Source organism: Homo sapiens, chromosome 10, assembly GCF_000001405.40.
Source record: "Homo sapiens chromosome 10, GRCh38.p14 Primary Assembly".
NCBI lineage: Eukaryota > Metazoa > Chordata > Mammalia > Primates > Hominidae > Homo > Homo sapiens.
The window spans coordinates 73,531,644-73,546,497 of NC_000010.11; the positions used below are offsets into that span (position 1 = coordinate 73,531,644).

Genomic DNA, 14,854 nt, shown 5'->3' on the forward strand with positions numbered 1-14,854 from the left:
TCCTTAATTGTGGATCATTTAAAGGGCATTTCAACTTTGATTCTCATTCCTATCCCCAACCCATCTTCACGAAACTTGGCTCCATCCAGAGATTACACTTCATAGTTCCTTAATACTAATCACTGGGAAAACCAGGAGAGCTGGGCTCTTTTATGTAACTTGCCCTGCTTCATGCCCATAGTATGCAAATACATGAGCATGATTTGATGACAGCAAAAGTCAGATTCTAAAGGATATAAGCAACTAAATTGCTAGAAGCCAGAGATGAATTAAGCAGGTAAATTAAGTTTGAAGATATGCTTAGAAAAAAAAAACCTAGGTCAAATGCATGGAGAGCTAACAAAAATTTGTTTTCACATGATAGCATATGAGAATCCTTATGCATATTCAAGTATCACCAGTGTAGTGATATGGATACATATTTTCAATCAGTTGCCCCTTGGAATCTTGTATTGCTTTTATTTGGTCGTTTGCTACCTCTGTGCCCACAAGAAAGATTTAAGAGAGGAGGAAATAACTTGGAACAACTAAGTCTTTTTTTTTTTTTGAGACGGAGTCTCGCTCTGTCACCCAGGCTGGAGTGCAGTGGTGCGATCTCAACTCACTGCAAGCTCCGCCTTCCGGGTTCACGCCATTCTCCTGCCTCAGCCTCCTGAGTAGCTGGGACTACAGACGCCTGCCACCACACCCAGCTAACTTTTTGTATTTTTTTTAGTAGAGACGGGGTTTCACCATGTTAGCCAGGATGGTCTCGATCTCCTGACCTCGTGATCCACCCACCTCGGCCTCCCAAAGTGCTGGGATTACAGGCGTGAGCCACTGTGCCCGGCCGCAACTAAGTCTTACAAATGTTAAACCAATGGGCATGTTCAAACCATTAACACAAATCTGCCTCTACTGGAAAATATGCTTAGTTTATCCTGTGGCTTGGCTTCTCTCTGGTTCACAGCTTCAAAAAGTGGGTCTAAAAAACTCACACCTGACACAATCAATGCAGTAGTCATCAAAAGAAAGCCAGCACAAGTCTGACAAAACCTCTAGGTCCAACTACCAATTTACAAGAAATATAGGACACAGAAACGTGTTAAAGTATACCATAGGAATAAAATCAGCAAAATTCAGAATGTGGGAAATCTACAGGACAAAATACCTAGTTCTAGCAATAAATTGCAAGGAAAAAAAATAGAGGAAAAAACAGTAGATTAAAAGAAATGCAAAGGACTTATCAACTCATCAGAATGCATAGACCTCATTTAGATGCTGAGTCAAACACATAAACCATGAAAATATTATGATACTTATAAGTGGATATGTGAACACTCATTGGTTACCTATCAGTTTTAAGGAATCATCATTATTATTTTTAAGTGTTACAATGCTGGGCTGGGCACGGTGGCTCACGCCTGTAATCCCAGCACTTTGGGAGGCCGAGGTGGGTGGATCACGAGGTCAGGAGATCGAGACCATCCTGGCTAACACGGTGAAACCCCGTCTCTACTAAAAATACAAAAAATTAGCCAGGCGTGGTGGCGGGCGCCTGTGGTCCCAGCTACTCGGGAGGCTGAGGCAGGAGAATGGCATGAACCTGGGAGGTGGAGATTGCAGTGAGCCAAGATCGTGCCACTGCACTCCAGCCTGGGCGACAGAGCGACTCCAACTCAAAAAAAAAAAGGTGTTATAATGCTATGTTTAAAAAGTGATTTCTTATGTTTGAGCAAACATAAGATATATTTATGGAAAATGTGATATAATGCCTGGGATGTGCTTCAAAATAATCCAGGAGTGGGTAAAGGTACAGGTAAAACTAGACTGGCCATGAGTTATAATTACTGAAACTAGGTGATGGGTACATGAATGGGCAGTACACTATTCTATACAGTTTTGAATATCTTTGAAATTCTTGATATTTAAAAAAAAAAAAAGCCCCCACAGCTTATAAACCACCAATCTCAAACAATGAGCTCACAAATTCTCACAGTCCCTAAGAATATGGACACTGTTCTATGCCTTAGGCATTCTATCTCCCAGAATAAACTTTCCATCTCAGCAGTCATTCACTGTTCTTCCCTGTATTGATTTCTTCCTCTGACATGGGCATACTCTCCTACAGATAAACAAAACAATGCAAGAATATTCTCTGCATGGAACTCACAATAACAAATAGGTATCTTTCATTCTTTTGCTTCTCTATCCTTCAGGAAGCTTAGCAAGCTGACATGCAGTTGTCCCTCACCAATCCCATAAATAGGCCCCTTCTATCAAAGCTCTTCACTTAGGACAAAGCCTGGCATGAGAACATGATGATGTGCAAGATCACAGGGGCTTAATGGGATACTACGGGAATCAAGAGTATAGGAGAAGAAAAGCACACTTCAGAATAATCACATCAATAATCACATTACAATCGTCTTTATTGACATGCTGCTATTGACAGGAGTATGTGCAATGGAGCATCACGGTTCATTCAAAACTGTGTTGCTTCTTTGTATCCCATTGAATTGCCCAAATTCTGTGCCATTGTGCCTTTGCGTAACGAACATTTCTGACTTCCCCCAGTTTCTTTCTCCTTTTTTTTTTTTTTGAGACGGAGTCTCGCTCTGTTGCCCAGGCTGGAGTGCAGTGGCACGATCCCAGCTCACTGAAAGCTTCGCCTCCTGGGTTCATGCCATTCTCCTGCCTCAGCCTCCCGAGTAGGTAGGACTACAGGTGCCTGCCACCATGCCCAACTAATTTTTTTTTTGTATTTTTAGTAGAGACGGAGTTTCACCGTGTGTTAGCCAGGATGGTCTCCATCTCCTTACCTCATGATCCACCCACCTTGGCCGCCCGCCTCGGCCTCCCAAAGTGCTGGGATTACAGGTGTGAGCCACTGCGCCTGGCCTCACAGTTTCTTTTTCTTAGGAGATCTATGCAGGAATTGATTCAGGCAAGCAGGACCCTCTGTATAAGTCCCTACCTGTGTCCCGACTGCTCTGAGACATGGAATCATTTTCCACATTATAGATGACTGTCCCCTGAGAATCAGAAGAGAAGTGACTGACCACAGACTCATGGTGGGAATGTTTGTAGGGATAGCTCTCCGTTGAGGAATCTGTTCGAGTGTCACTTGAGATGGAGGGCTCCCTCCCTGAGAGGAGGAGGAAACACATATGCAAAAAGTGAGGAAACAGAACAGTAGCAAAGAGAAGGAAAAGAGATGGACACAACAAAGCTCCATAAGGCAAGAACTTCCTAGACACAAGTGTGAGAAGGATATGCTATACCATCAAGCCATTCTTCCCAACACCCAACTTCCAGATCACCCAGACACATGTAAAATTCCTCCCATCCCTTTCCCTACCCTGCTGAAGCCCTCACTTTGCCTGCCACTGTGAAAAACTGTGAGGGTTTTATAAAACCTATCGGGGGAAAAGCAGAAGTGATGAAAAAGTTGTGAAAAGTAAGATCTATTTAGATGGAAAGTCCCAGGACAACCTGTCATACATAGTCAGTTGTTCTCCTATCCCATAATCTTTCTCCTATACTGCCAAGAATGTCACTTAAATTTTTGAATTGATACCAGATGCATTTTTAATGACTCTGAGAAATTATTGGGGCTGTTATATGACATACATTAGTATAAATTAGTTCAATCAGACTGCTTCCCTCTGAATACCTAGCTGAGATAAGCATAATAGGACAAATGGGTATTTGACTGAAGGGAGAAGAGGTAGAACAGGTCTGGGTGGGGTATGAAAGGTGGAAGAAAGCACCAGGTACCAAGCAGGAGGGAGGTACAAAGGGGAGAAAGAAAGACGTCAAAGTCAAGTATCTTCTCTTTCAAAATTATATCAAGGGCCAGTACCAGATCCAGAAGGGTAAAATAATATTTCTTCCTCCTTTTCAGTAATCAAGCCAAAACTATTAGGTTATACCTCAAATATATTATAAGATTCTGTGAGCTACCCTAGAACTTTAGCCATCAAGCTGAAAATTGTTTTTACAGAAAGTCGTTACTTAAGTTCTGAAAAATTAACTTAGAAGTGAACAACTGATTCATAAGCAGAGGAATATTACTACTGGACAAGGAATTTTTCCCCCCTCCAAGACAGAGTCTTGCTATTTTGCCCAGGCTAGGCTCGAACTCCAGGGCTCAAGTGATCCTCCCACCTCAGCCTCCCAAATAGCTAGGATAACAGGCATGCATCACCCTGCCCAGCTACACATTTGCAATTTTAAAACAAAAATATCTCATGCCAAACAAAATAACTAGCCTTGTAGTGGCTCAAATAAAACAACTCAATTAAGTCACTGGTAAATTGCTAATAAAAATCAGCCATCCTCACCAATATTAGAAGGTTAAATATTGAGCCTTGCAAACTTAATATCTCAGTCTAAATAAACATAATTTCCTTTTCACTTCTGAGTTGAGGCCAAGTGATTTAGGCAACACTGTTTTGACAACTGAAGGAAATAAAGGCTGGCCCAAGTTAGGCTTCAGCACAAATTGGCACTTCTTTCTTACCTCTAATGGATCCTCTTTCTCCAAGCTAGGTTACGAGCTAAGCACATAATTAACTATGAGTCCCAACTGTTTGATCGCATGGGGTGAGGAGAGAGGAGAGGTAAAGAGCCTGGCTGCTCACCTGAATCTTCACTGTCGTAGCATGTCCTGCTGTATGACTGGAACTCAGCTTGGGGAGGCAGGTCCTGGGTGGAAACTGGGGTACCCTGGGGATCTGCATAAAGCAGCAGCAGGGGCTGATAATGCCCCTTGATGCATTTGGTCACCACATCCTTCCATTTGGGCCCAATCTGAACCAGAAACAACCAGAAGAACATGACAATTATACTTTATACCCACAATTCACAACATATCTTTCTGTTCTGTATTTCTAAAGAAAATAAAAGAGATGAAAAGATAAGAATTGGGTAAAAAGGCAGCAAAAAAGATCTCAGACCTAACACTTTTTTAATTAAATCTTTTTTTTCTTTGCTAAGTCCTTTTAGAAAGCACTAAAATCCTATAGGAGAATAAAAGAATGAATAAAATTAATTTTATTTCTGTGAACCATCAACTCAGTTGTAAAATAGGAATAAAAGTCCTCAAAGGTGGATATGCTACGTGAGGGAACTTCAGCTGCCTTGGTGACCAATTTCTTTTCACAGACATCAAATTAAGCCCTCACTAGAAATCTGCATTTCCTTAGTTTTCTCCCAAATATTAAAATCACTTTCATGAAGCTGAAGAGCAGACAGAAACTCTTTCACAGACTGCCTTAGAACAAATGACATTCAGTTTCAGAGTTCGCAAATGGTAGGATATAAAATGTCAAACTGCTTAGAATAGACAATTGAACCTCTCGGCCTTAGCCCTGTGCTGGATTCAGCTCTGTTACCATAGTGGAAAAGAGAGAACAGCCACAGAATCAATTCAACCCAATCCTCAAACTCACACCATCTTAAGCTTGAACCAGTCACATTTCTTAGATAATGTGCTGCTCTTGGGGTTAGACAACTAGCATAGTGATATGTTCACAACAGATGTCCAGTAAACTTAAAACTGAGTTATTAATTAAAACATTTATATGCTCTTCACATATTAATATAATCATATTTACTACTTTGTAAGGGTATTTTCAAATAAAAACCCTAAATCTAAAAGAACTTAAATAAATTGCCCCAAATTACAACAACGCAAAAGAGACAAAGAAAAGAATAAGGGAATTTGACAAATACTTTACTATTTGTGGAAGACACTGCTTAAAGTCTGTGGATTGGTGTAGATTATAGTCACACCTTATCTCCTTATCTGCTAACCTTATCACAAGCAGCTTCCTAACTCATGCAGATCACATAAGCCACTTCAACCACAAACTCTGTGGTTTAGACAGTACCAACTTTCCTGCTTTGTCATTATAACCCTACATGCCTTATAACTATCCCAAAACACATGTTACTCTGTGATGGGGCACTTCAGGGAGACAACAAAGAATAATTTACAGCAGCCCCGAGACAAAGTAGTACCCACTGATAACTCCAAGATCTGAAATTCTGAACTTTGTATTAACCTTATAACCTCATTTGAGGCATTAGAGTGTTCCTACTCAAATCAATCAACACACACATTAAAAAAAAAAAAAAAAAAATTCCTCTCTGGGGTCCTAGCTTCCAAGAAGACAAAGAAAGGAAAGAACATGGCATGCCAAAAAGGGCTGTGGCTATGTGCAGCTCACTCACTGCATGAACTGTGCCTGAGGCATGCCCAAGGACAAGGCTATTAAGAAGTTTCTCATTCAAGGCCGGGCGTGGTGGCTCACATCTGTAATCCCAGCACTTTGGGAGGCCAAGGCGGGTGGATCACTTAATGTCAGGAGTTTGAGACCAGCCTGGCCAACATGGAGAAACTCCATCTCTCCTAAAAATACAAAAATCAGCCAGGCATGATGGTACGCGCCCGTAATCCCAGCTACTCGGGAGGCTGAGGCACGAGAATCACTTGGGCCCGGGAGGCAGAGGTTGCAGTGAGCTGAGATCGCGCCCCTACACCCCAACCTGGGTGACAGAGCAAGACCCTATGTCAAAAAAAAAAAAAAGTTTCTCATTCAAAACATAGTAAAGGCTGCAGCTGTCAAGGACATTTCTGAAGTAAATTTCTTTGATGCCTATGTGCTTCCTAAGCTGTAGGTAAAGCTACGTTACTACATGAATTGTGCCATTCATAGCAAGGTAGTCAGTAATCAATCTCCCCGAGCCCAAAAGGTGATAACATCCCCACCCAGATTTAGACCTTCGAGTGCTGACCCATGAGCTCCACCAAAGCCCACGTAAGGAGCTGACTTCTCAGGACTGAAGAAAAACTATTTTCTAGAAAAAAAAAAAGGAGATTATAGTTTAAAAAAACACTTTGGGCCAGGCACTGTGGCTCACGCCTGTAATCCCAACACTTTGGCAGGCTGAGGAGGGAGGATCACTTGAGCCCAGGAGTTCCAGACCAGCCTGGGTAACATCTCTAAAACAAAAAAACAAAAAATTTTAACTAGCTGGGTGTGGTGGCCACACACCTATAGTCACAGCTACTCAAAAGACTAAGGTGAGAGAATTGCTTAAACCTGGAAAATAAAGGCTGCAGTGAGCCATTATCACGCCCCTGCACTCCAGCCTGGGCAATAGAGTGAGGAAACCCTATCTCAAAAAATAAAGTAAAATGCTTTGTCACCTATAAATACAAAACTGCTGAATGCCTGGTGAGGGGATTCAGAGGATATAATAGAAGATACATTGTTCCTATCCTCGAAGAACTAGCCATCTTCAGGGGAAGACAAAATGATACCTTCATGAATTCAGTAGGCAGACAGACATAAAAATATAAAATACGCCGGGCACAGTGGCTCATGCCTATAATTCCAGCACTTTGGGAGGCTGAGGTAGGCGGATCACAAGGTCAGGAGTTCGAGACCAGCCTGGCAAACATAGTGAAACTCTGTCTCTACTAAAAATACAAAAATTAGCCAGGTGTGGTAGCATGCGCATGTACTCCCAGCTACTCAGGAGGCTGAGGTGGGAGAATCACTTGAACCCAGGAGGCAGAGATTGCAGTGAGCCAAGACCAAGCCACTGCACTCCAACCTGGGTGACAGAGTGAGACTCCATCTCAAAAAAAAAAAAAATTAAAAAAAAAAAAAATATATATATATATATGTTTTATAGAAATGTGGGGAGGTCCCATTCAAAATTATGAAAATGAAACACTAAAGACAAATGATTATTCTTTTTTTTTGTAGTCACCAAACACTTCAAAAAGGACTTGACTACTCCTACCTCCTTGACATGAGCATCATCAAAATACATCCATTTGCGAATCTTTGTTTGAAAAAAGAATGTAGAATAATGTTTGCCATAGTAACAGATCATTCCAACTAAGTACAGTTCAGATTGCTTGGCCCGGTCATCCGTCACTCTGAAAAACAGCTGAGGGGAAAGAAGAGAAAAGAAAGCACAGTCACATATTCAACCATTCCACATCATCTCTCAGCAGACTCCACCAGCATTTCTTAAGTAAGGTACTGACTTGCTTCTCTTCCCTTCAGTTTAAGATTTTTGTTAGTTTAGATTAATCATCAGAATTTAACTTCAGCACTTTGTGAGGCCAAGGTAAGAGAATTACTTGAGGACAAGAGTTCGAGAACAACCTAGACTAGATAGCAAGACCCTATCTTTAGGCCCAGTGTGGTGGCTCACGCCTGTAATTCCTACACTTTGGGAGGGTGAGGTGAACAGATCTCTTGAGGTCAGGTATTCGAGACCAGCCTGGCCAACATAGTGAAACCCCATCTCTACTAAAAATACAAAAATCAGCTGGGTGTGGTGGTGCATGTCTGTAATCCCAGCTACTTGAGACGTTGAGGCAGGAGGCAGAGATTGCAGTGAACCGAGATCATGACACTGCACTCCAGCCTGGGCGACAGAGCAAGACCCCATCTCAAAAAAAGAAAGAAAGAAAGAAAGAAATTAACCCAAAAAGACAAAAAGTAAGGAAAAGCAAGACAGATAGTGGCCAGTAAACTGGTATGGTGATGATCTTTCTTCATACCTTTCAATAATTTTCTTACCAGGGCCTATCATAAGAGGAGCCAGGAAAGTTGGATTAAAAAAAAAAAAAAACCAGCTGGGCGCGGTGGCTCACGCCTGTAATCCCAGCACTTTTGGAGGGGGAGGCAGGCAGATCACGAGGTCAGGAGATCGAGACCATCCTGGCTAACATGGTGAAACTCCGTGTCTACTAAAAATACAAAAAATTAGCCGGGCATGGTGGCAGGCACCTGTAGTCCCATCTACTGGGGAGGCTGAGGCAGGAGAATGGCATGAACCCAGGAAGCGGAGCTTGCAGTGAAGGGAGATCACACTACTGCACTCCAGCCTGGGCGACAGAGCAAGACTCCATCTCAAAAAAACAAAAAAGAAACAATTGCTTTTGTTTTTAAGAGACAGGGTCTTGCTATGCTGCCTAGGCTAGAATGTAGTGGCTATTCACAGGCAGAATCATTGCACACTACAGCCTTGAACTCCTTAAGCAATCCTCCCACCTCAGCCTCCTGAGTAGCTGGGACTACAGGTAGGCACTGGTGAAAAATGGAGATTTTATTGCTCACAGCCTACTCAGGTAAGATTCCTTAGGAAGAAAACCTAAAATAAGATCCCAGAAAGTTCATTTATTCTCAGTCATGGCTTAATGACATTAAAAAACAATAACAAAGGTTTTCTTTAGTCCCAGTATTATCCCAGACATTAGTTCCACACTGTGAATTTCATATTTTTGGGCTCAGGTCACCAACTTTTAACTTCTTCACCTACTATAGCAGTTCTAGTCAGGAATGCCCCTCTTTGGACCTTACTACCTCCCATGGTTGAACACCCTTCCCTACTTTATACTCGTATAAACTAACAATGAATAGAACATATAATAACTCTTTGAATTACTGATTTATTTTTATCAGTAGCTAAGCTCTGCCTATCCTGTCTTTCAAGGTCAAGTCATCCCATTTCTTCTTAAAAACTCTTTGCCACCTATAAAAGGAGGTATATGAGCACATACCTGCAAGCACGGGTATCTGTACACAAATAAGTTTATCTGTCCAAAACATTATAATACTTGTCATCTAGGACATACCTGTTTGTCTAGTGCTCACTGCTCCTAAGCAATACTAAGACGCAAGAACTCAAAGTGAGAGATAAAGGTAACTAACACGCACATCACCCAGCTTAAGGCAGGTTCCCAGGCTGTGGATAACATCTTCTGCTAAGTCTGAGTGGTCTGAGTCCCATACCAGCCCAATCGTGATAATCTGTGGAGCATTCATCAACACACGGCGAATCCTGATCCTCTCTCCACAGTTGCTCTGAAATACATATATAAGGCTAGTTCAACATGTTTCCCACTGGCTTTGCATCAATTCCACTGATCGATGGTTCCCTTTCCCACTCCAAACCCCACCCCTGATTTAACTCACTGGACAGTTCCGCAGATCCCCCATGGTGCTGGCATTCTGCAGCAGCTCACCAAACATGCTTGGTGAAGGTTTCTCTCGTCTTTCCAGCATACAAATAGCCTGATTGCTTCAAGATGGGGAATAGAAGGGGGATGATGGTTTGTATTTAGTTACTGCTAAATCAAACATTAATGTACATTCCTAACTCACACATTTGACTTTCTTCCTCTGCCCCCTATACCAAAGCCCCTGACCAGGCTCAGTGTCCCATAAACACAGTAAGTACCTCTACCTGTCCCCAGATCCAAAGCTCATAGAATCCCCACTCCTCCTCCCACTTTGCTGGCCAGTACTGAGCCTAAGAAAAGGGGAGGGATGGGAGAGGAAAGAAGGAGAACAAAAATTATTTTTAAATTACTGTTCTGCATTCCTACAATATAGCACAGATTCAGCAATAAGGATATAAAACTATTTGTGTTTTTATTGTTGTTGGTGGTGGTTTTTTTGAGACAGGGTCTCGCTCTGTTACCTGGCTGGAGTGCAGGGGCTCAATCTCAGCTCACAGAAACCTCCGCCTCCTGGGTTCAAGCAATTCTCATGCCTCAGCCTTCAGAATAGCTGGGATTACAGGCACGCGCAACCATGCCTGGCTAATTCTTGACATTTTTAGTAGAGACAGGGTTTTGTCATGTTGGCCAGGCTGGTCTCGAACTCTTAGCCTCAAGTGATCCGCCCACCTGGGCCTCCCAAAGTGCTAGGATTATAGGCATGAGCCACCATGCCCGGCCAAGATATAAAACTATTTGAATGTCTCCAATTAAAGTCCAATAGGCCAGGCACTGTGGCTCACGCCTGTAATCCCAGCACTTTGGGAGGCCAAGGCAGGTAGATCATTTGAGGTCACGAGTTCAAGACCAGCCTGACCAACATGATGAAACACCGTCCTGCTAAAAACACAAAAAAATTAGCGCAGTGTGTACTATTTGTAAGTAGCTGGAAGTCTCAGCTACTTGGGAGATGGAGGCAGGAGAATCGCTTGAACCCAGGAGGCGGAGGTTGCAGTAAGCCGAGATTGTGCCACTGCACTGCAGCCTGGGCAACAGAGCGAGACTCTGTCTCAAAAAAAAAAAAAAAAGTCCAATCAACTGGAGGAATGCCTAAACGCACAACAGAAAATCTTGTAAGACTCACCAAAGGGAAGTGGTGGAGATATAATGTACCATCTGGATGAAAGGCAGCGGATCAGAAGTGGCACCACAGCTAGTACATACACACTGGGCAAAAGAGAAAAAGGCAAAACCAAGCAACCATAATCAGGAACTGTTTTGGCACCCATTTAACACCCCACATCCCAGGATAAAGTGTTCTGGAAGAAATGTCTAAAAAAAGATGGAGCTAGAGTTCACCTGCTCAAACAATGTCATTGCAAATTTCTGATGGGAAATGCAGTGTTGGGCAGTACATATATCCTCTTTGGTTTCATCAGCAATGTGGAAGTGAATTCTCATCAGGAGGTTTTCCTGACAGGGAAAGAACAAAAGCAGTATACCAACAATATTTAATAGACAAATACATAAATTGGTAAGCAGCTTACCCATAGAAACAGCAACCCTTCTGGAAGGTAGGAATATTTTGATTTTTAAAAATTTTTAGTTTAAAAAAATTATAAATTCATAGCAAGTTTCAAAAATGTATAGGAGATCCCCTGTACCCTTCACCCAGCTTCCTCCAACAGTAACATCTGTGTTTTTTTTGTTTGTTTTTTTGTTTTTTGAGATGGAGTCTCGCTCTGTCACCCAGGCTGGAGTGCAGTGGCTCAATCTTGGCTCACTGCAAGCTCCACCTCCCGGGTTCACGCCATTCTCCTGCCTCAGCCTCCCGAGTAGCTGGGACTACAGGCGCCCGCCACCACGCCCGGCTAATTTTTTGTATTTTTAGTAGAGACGAGGTTTCACCGTGTTAGCCAGGATGGTCTCGATCTCCTGACCTCGTGATCCGCCCGCCCCAGGCTCCCAAAGTGCTGGGATTACAGGCGTGAGCCACCGCACCCGGCACAACTTTGATAACTGTATCAGGAAATGGACATTGATAGGATCCAGACTTTATTCAGATTTCACCAGTTTTACATGCATTCATTTGTGTGTGTGTATGTATAGCTCTATGCCATTTTATCAAGATATAGACCAGTTCCATCACAAGGCTCCCTCATGCTAACCATTTAGAGCCTTACCCGTCCAAACCTAACCCTAACCTGTGGTAATCACTAATGTCTTCTCTCATCTCCATCATTTTATTTCAAGAATGTTATATAAATGGGATCACATACCACATAACCTTTTTTTTTTTTTTGAGACACACTCTGTCTCTGTCGCCCAGGCAGGAGTACAGTAGAGCGATCTCGGCTCACTGCAACCTCTACCTCCCGGGTTCAAGAGATTCTCCTGCCTCAGCCTCCCAAGTAGCTGGGATTACAGGTATGTGCCACCACGCCTGGCTAAGTTTTGTGTTTTTAATAGAGACGGCGTTTCACCACGTTGACCAGGCTGCTCTCGAACTCCTGACCTCAAGTGATCCGCCCACCTTGGCTTCCCAAAGTGCTGGGATTACAGGAGTGAGCCCGGCCAGCATATAACCTTTTGATATTGCATTTTTCACTTTCCCTTGAGGTCTGTCCAAGTTGTGTAAATCAATAGTTTCTTTTTATTTTTATAAAAATACTTAATGCTTTGTATTGCTGCATAGTTCTTCACGGTACAGAAGTATCATCATTTGTTTAACCGTCTACTCACTGAAGGACATTTGGGTTGTTTCCAGTTTTTTACTATTATGAATAACACTTCTATGAACATTCATAAACAGGTTTTGTTTTAATATAAGTTTTCATTTCTGTGGGATACATGTCCAGGAATGTAATTGCTAGATCATACGGTAGTTTACATGTCTAGCTTTTTAAGAAACTGCCAAACTGTTTTCCAGAGTAGCTATACCATTTTACATTCCCACCAGCAATATATCAGTGATCCAGTTCCTCAGGAGCACCTCTGATTTGGGGCCACATTTTACCCTGTGATGAGATATGTATCACTCTCAAATTTTCTTTTTTTTTTCTTTTTTTCTTTTGAGACAGAGTCTCACTGTGTCACCCAGGCTGGAGTACAGTGGTGCTATCTAGGCTCACTACAACCTCCTCCTCCCAAGTTCAAGTGATTCTCTTGCCTCAGCCTCCCAAGTAGCTGGGACTATAGGCGCCCGCCACCATGCCTGGCTAATTTTTGTATTTTTAGTAGAGATGGGGTTTCGCTACGTTGGCCAGGCTAGTCTTGAACTCCTGACCTTGTGATCTGCCTGCCTTGGCCTCCCAAAGTGCTGAGATTACAGGCATGAGCCACCATGCCCGGCCTCAAATTTTCTAAATGGATTTACAGAGAGTCTTTCGAAGGTTGATGTATAGAACACAGAGTTCAGAAGAGCGAGGGGCACTGGAGGCAATGTAGCCATATAGCACATCACACTTATGCTAGGGACTCAGTTATTCCCTGATTAATTATCTTTAGAAATGGAGGAGCAGCATCAGTATTAGCATCACTTAGGAACCTGTTAGATACAGATATTCCGGGACTCCTCTGCCGGGCCTACTGTATCAGAAGCTCTGGGGGTACAATCTGTATTTTAATGAGCCTTGGATCCTCTGAAGGTGAGAGCTGATGTTTTATGCAATGACAAGCACAAAACCACCAGCCTAAAGGAAAAATAATAACACACTGCTATAACAGAGACATTTTAGATCCCTGAAAAATCAGAGAAAACTCCTAGTTCTAACTGTAGAGATAAGGGCACAGCAAATTCCACCATAAAGTAGCCAGTCCCTGATGGAGACCATCAGCAGTCCCACCCCATATCAAAGAGGGCCAGAGGCCAGCACTTACAAAGCACTCTGCAGCATCATCCATAATTCCCAGCTGGAAACGTTGTTCATCCTGGAAAGTCTTTGCCAGAGCACTGCGGAGAGTGTCAGATGGAAGCACTTTTTCACTACTACACTGAAACTGGTTAAAGATTCCCTATAGGGAAGAGGTTAGACAAGAGAAAAAGTACAATGCTGTTATTAAACTTCTATACATCCTAGTCTGTCATGCTAGCATCTCCATGATGATAGCTATGAAACCAAATGTGCTTCCCATGGGTTGACATGCTTGCAGTTAGTAATTAAAAATAAAATCAAGAGTCAGAATGAAGGGCATGATCTGTGCTAATAAAGATCCTCACTCCTTCATCTGAGTGTGATGCCAAGGACACATTAGGAGAAACCACTGTCATGAATTAATGTAATGCAGTTACCTCATTTCCTCTTCCTCTAATACAGACAGAAGTAAATGGGTTAGGTAAAAAAAGAAAAATTACACGTAAACGTTATCAACAAATTATTTTCTGGGGGTTCATCCTATGAATCTTGACCCCCTTTCTTTTAAAATTTCCAGCTAATATAAAATTACCAAAAAGTACAAAGACTAATATAACAAAAATCTGTGAGTCTAATACCCAGAAATAAACATTCTATCATGTTTACTTTCATCTACAGATAATGCTAAAGTCTTGTTTAAGACTGCCCCACTCTCTACCAGCCACTCATATCATAAATTTGTTGTATAATCTGTTTTTAATAGTTTTACATATATATCCCTAAATAATACATAGGATACTTTTGTGTATATTTGTGGGTTTTTTGTTTTTTTGTGTGTGTTCTTGTTGTTGTTTTTTTGAACAGGGTCTTGCTTTGTCACCCAGGCTGGAGTGCAGTGGCATGAACGTGGCTCACTGTAGCCTCAACCTCCTGCCTCAGCATCCTGAGTAAATGGGACTACAGGCATGCACCACCACACACCGCT

The 14,854-nt window shown here is 42.3% G+C and overlaps 1 protein-coding gene and 1 pseudogene across 27 annotated transcripts in view, besides 1 other annotated feature; one reads left to right on the top strand and one right to left on the bottom strand.

Moving 5' to 3' along the window:
* USP54 (ubiquitin specific peptidase 54) overlaps positions 1 to 14,854 on the bottom strand; it is a 128,444-nt gene that overhangs the window by 34,106 nt on the left and 79,484 nt on the right. For 15 of the 27 annotated variants that reach the window (NR_165443.1, NR_135250.2, NM_001391942.1 and 12 more), the window contains 7 exons: positions 13,895 to 14,029; positions 11,375 to 11,488; positions 11,160 to 11,242; positions 9,990 to 10,095; positions 9,732 to 9,878; positions 7,801 to 7,950; positions 4,626 to 4,794 (listed from right to left, as the gene is read on the bottom strand). Coding sequence is in view for 21 of the 27 variants with exons in the window: in NM_001391942.1 (NP_001378871.1) it covers positions 4,626 to 4,794; positions 7,801 to 7,950; positions 9,732 to 9,878; positions 9,990 to 10,095; positions 11,160 to 11,242; positions 11,375 to 11,488; positions 13,895 to 14,029 (904 nt within the window). In the remaining 6 variants the exon portion in view is untranslated. Of the gene's footprint in view, positions 1 to 2,956; positions 3,128 to 4,625; positions 4,795 to 7,800; positions 7,951 to 9,731; positions 9,879 to 9,989; positions 10,096 to 10,260; positions 10,327 to 11,159; positions 11,243 to 11,374; positions 11,489 to 13,894; positions 14,030 to 14,854 lie in introns of all 27 variants that reach the window. The other 12 variants (NR_146998.2, NR_146997.2, NM_001391949.1 and 9 more) reach the window with 3 other exon arrangements.
* RPS26P41 (ribosomal protein S26 pseudogene 41) lies at positions 6,550 to 6,810 on the top strand (annotated as a pseudogene).
* Positions 11,917 to 12,125: a silencer, noted in NCBI's record as "fragment chr10:75303318-75303526 (GRCh37/hg19 assembly coordinates)". NCBI's record gives its function as "represses an EF-1alpha promoter that drives an FKBP-Casp9 reporter gene in an ReSE screen in phorbol 12-myristate 13-acetate-treated (for megakaryocytic differentiation) K562 erythroleukemia cells {active_cell/tissue: K562(+PMA)}" and the evidence as "EXISTENCE:reporter gene assay evidence [ECO:0000049][PMID:32094911]".